The 3,960-nt window shown below is 34.8% G+C and overlaps 1 long non-coding RNA gene across 1 annotated transcript in view; it reads left to right on the plus strand.

Moving 5' to 3' along the window:
- The window catches only part of LINC02141 (long intergenic non-protein coding RNA 2141), a 198,621-nt gene that overhangs the window by 56,949 nt on the left and 137,712 nt on the right, over positions 1-3,960 (plus strand). The gene's annotated exons all lie outside the window — the stretch shown is intronic.

A 3,960-nucleotide genomic window follows, 5' to 3' on the forward strand; every position in this document is an offset into this window, starting at 1 on the left:
TGAGGTTGAACAGACAGCTGCTGGGAGGATACCCTTGCAGAAGTATTTTTGGTGAAAGATTGCAATGGTCTTTTTGCCAGGTTGTGTTTTTTGCAGTCTTTCGTGACAGTTTTTGTTCTCCGGCATATAAGCACGACAACACTCACTTCATGGCCTTTCCTGGCTCTATTTATCAGGGTTTTCTTAACATTAGTGCCTACATTTTGAATCTGACAACTTTCACAACCTTGACAACTAAGAAGGATGATTGCCATTACTGTGATTAGGAAGGCTATAGGTGGGGCAGGTTTGGGGAAAATTTCAGGAGTTCATTATACAATATGCTGAATCTTCAATGTCTCTTAGACATTCAAATGGTGATTTTGAGTAGGCAGTTGAATACATGAATCTGGAGTTTAGGAGAGAGGCCTTTGCTGGAGAAAAATGAGAGTTTTTAGATATGGAATTTTAAAGCAATAGACTAGATGAGCTCATCCAGGGAGTAAGTACAGATAAAAAAGAGAAGCTAACCAAGGATAGAGCATTGGACATTTCAACATGGAGCTGAGAACAGAAATAGGAACCATCAAAGAAGGCAGAGAAAGAGAGGCAGTGAGGGGAGAGGAATACCAAGGATATTTGGGGTTCTGTGAGCCAAGGGATAAGATTTCATCAAGGAGGAAGGAGCGTCTGCGTAAAATGCCAGTGGTGAGTCAGGAGGAAACGTGGATTTTCCATTGGATTTAGTAACATGGCAGTCGTGCATATGTGTTGGAGGGTAAAGGGAGAATTGCAGGGGTAGAATGGATAGAAAACCTGTAGAAAAATCTATAGTCAAACATACATAAAGTATCTATTGTTTCTTAAATAAGACTTTAAATATTTTATTTTGCTTCACTCAAGCTACATAATTAGTTCAAACTTGAGTGAATTACAATGGACCTTGAGCAAGAACAAAAATAAAAGAGAGAGAAACAGAAACAAATATAATATGTCTAAATAGCATAATCTGGCTTTGTTTGGTTTTGCTCTGGAAAAGTATTTTAATGTAAGAATATCACATTTTAGGGTAAATTTTATAAAAAGTGGAATATCAACCTAATATGCTATTTTCTCTACAGTATATCAAATAAAATTATATCTGAGATTTGTGATATTTTGATTAGATTTTTCAAGTTGCATTCAGGTCCTTTTTCAGAGAGCAAATAATTTTCATTCTTTATGTTGGTTTAGGGAATAAATCAGCTTTAAGTGTTCTGAGAAGTTTCAAGCAGGATCAAAGCAAAAGTTGATTATACTTTTAGCTAAAGAACTTGCTGAACCTTGAGGGCTCAGTGACATTATTACATGGACGTGAGCATGGATTGTAAAGTGCTAATTCTCAAACAAAGACACAGCTTACCATGTTTCATAACCTTTAGGATTATTTCACAACCACAATGTAGAATATATTTTATTTGGTGTGGTGGGTTATACTATCTCTGGTGGATCAAGAATTCTATTGAAAATCTAGCCTCATAAGATAGCCCTTCTTTGGACATGACGTGGAATTCACTTTTAACTAAGCCAAGGACAATAAGAGTTAGTGCTCCCTAAGTGTACTTGCTTATCATTATTTAGCATACTAGATTGAAATGCACAATGTGTGAATCATAGGGTGAATATGTGCTCAAGAAGTATCCAAACAGGTCAAATATTCAACTAAAATAGTTCCATACCTATAATTACTGTTGAGTCTCATTCACTAAATACTCTTAATTTTCATTATAACTTAAATTAAGATAATTTAAATATAATACAAATATTTAGTGAGAACATAAAGTTGAAAGCACAATAGAGTTTTATTTTAGACTCTTGATGGCAAGCAAAATATACCTACTTGTCCTTATGTAAGTAAAAGGTATTTTATTATAAGAGTTTGATTGGTTAGGATCTTAAGACACGTCTAAAAGTAGGTCTCGGGAATGAATTGAAATCAGATACTTGGACGCCAGCAGAAAAGTTTTTCTCATCTTTTTGCATATTGGTTTTATTTTTGTTTCTTGTTGGAAACTGACATTTGCTGTTTTTCAGGTTTCATGGTAGAACATGCATTACATTATATTTCCAGTTTTGTATCTTCTCTCCCTAAGAGAACAGAGAGACGAGGCTGGAATATCTTAATCCTATTGCCAAGCTCCCCGAGAAGAGATTCTGGCTCAGTATGGTACAGGTACTCACCCCCCTTGAAATCTGAGTCAGACTGTACAATATTCTTGTTTTCCCGTGTTCATTTGAATGGAACCATGAAAAAAAAAAAGCATCCAGAAAATTAGGAAATGCTGGATTGACAATAAAATCATCTTCCAATAGTATATTTTAAATTAGCTCTTGATATATATCCACTGGGCATTGAAGTCCTTAGCACAGCTTACAAAGATGGTTCTGTCTCTTTCAGGGATTTTATCATGACCCCTGATTATGCAGTTCAATCAATGAAAGTAGCTGCTTGGGTACTGATGCAAGTAGAAGTATATTAAACAAAGCTAAGTATTGACTATCACCAAAAACTGGATCTTATGTATTTCACCATGTGATTCATCCAATTTTCTCCACCTATTCTCAGATTACACACTTACTTTTAAAGACATAATAATAACACACATAAAAATAATGTGATATAAAATATAATAAATTCAATTTACAACTATCACAAGTAACTTGGACCATTTTTGCAGAAATCTAGTTATCCTACAATTTTGTCTTTTTAAGGTAAGTTTCTCTATAATGAAAGAGATTTTGTCAGAGCAAATATGTAACTTAGTTGTATTAAATTGTAGCCAGGAAATAAAAATATGGACCTACTTACCATAGTGAAGGCCTCAGATCCATAGTTTGAATAAGTTTAACAACAGAAAAAATATTTATAGAATACTCTGTATAGATGACAAGTAGTTATAATAATTAAAAATATTTACTTCGTTATCATTTAAGGTAATGTAATGAGCTACTTAGTTTTCATTTCTGAATTAAGTTCAAAGTATAAGCTCTCAGTTTATAATTACATGGTCAACAGAAGTATGCACTACAAAGAATGTTAATTGGTTATGTAGCATGTTAACTCTAGGAGAAGTTGAGTGCATAAGAACTCTTTGTAAAATATTTTTAACTTCCTATGTATGCACAGTTATCTCAAACTGAAATATTTTTAAAAAGCAAAGAAAAATACTTGTAGTAGATATGTCAAGATTGCATTTATATAAGTTTCAAGATAGGCAAATCTAATCTATGGCAATAGAAATCAAAGCAGCAATTGCCTTGGGAAGAGGGCAACAGCAGGAAGGAAGCACAGAGAACTTTCCAGGGTAATGCGTGGGTACACAGGTTAGATGAGTGTATACATTTTTCAAAGCCCATAAGACTATGCACTTATGATTGTCTGTGTGTATACACGCATGTACATATCATCGTATTTAAATTATAAGGCCAGCCGTGGTAGCTCATGCCTGTAATCCCAGCACTTTGGGAAGCCAAGACAGATTAATTGCTTGAGCCCAGGAGTTAGAGACCAGACTGGGCAACATGACTAAACTTCGTCTCTGCAAAAAAATTCAAAAATTAGCCCTGTGTGGTGGTGCACACCAGTAGTGCCAGCTACTCAGGAGGCTGAGGCAGGAGGATCGCTTGAACGCAGGAGGCGGAGGTTGCAGTGAGCTGAGATAGTGCCAGTGCACTCCAGCCTGGGCGACAGAGTGATTGACATTAAATAAATAAATACATAAATATGTAAAATTATGTTTATACTTAAGGAATAGCCAAAATATTTTGGAGTAGAAATCATAAAATGCACGAACTTATACAAATCTTGTAATTTTATTAGAAATTACAATTTTGCCACCCAGCAAGAAGTAGTTAAGCTTCTCAGTGCTTTTCTTTCACTATACCAAGCAGATTTCTGAACTAGTTAGGGTAACAAAAGCTGCTAAAAATAGCCTCAAAACA

This window comes from Homo sapiens, chromosome 16 (assembly GCF_000001405.40).
Source record: "Homo sapiens chromosome 16, GRCh38.p14 Primary Assembly".
NCBI lineage: Eukaryota > Metazoa > Chordata > Mammalia > Primates > Hominidae > Homo > Homo sapiens.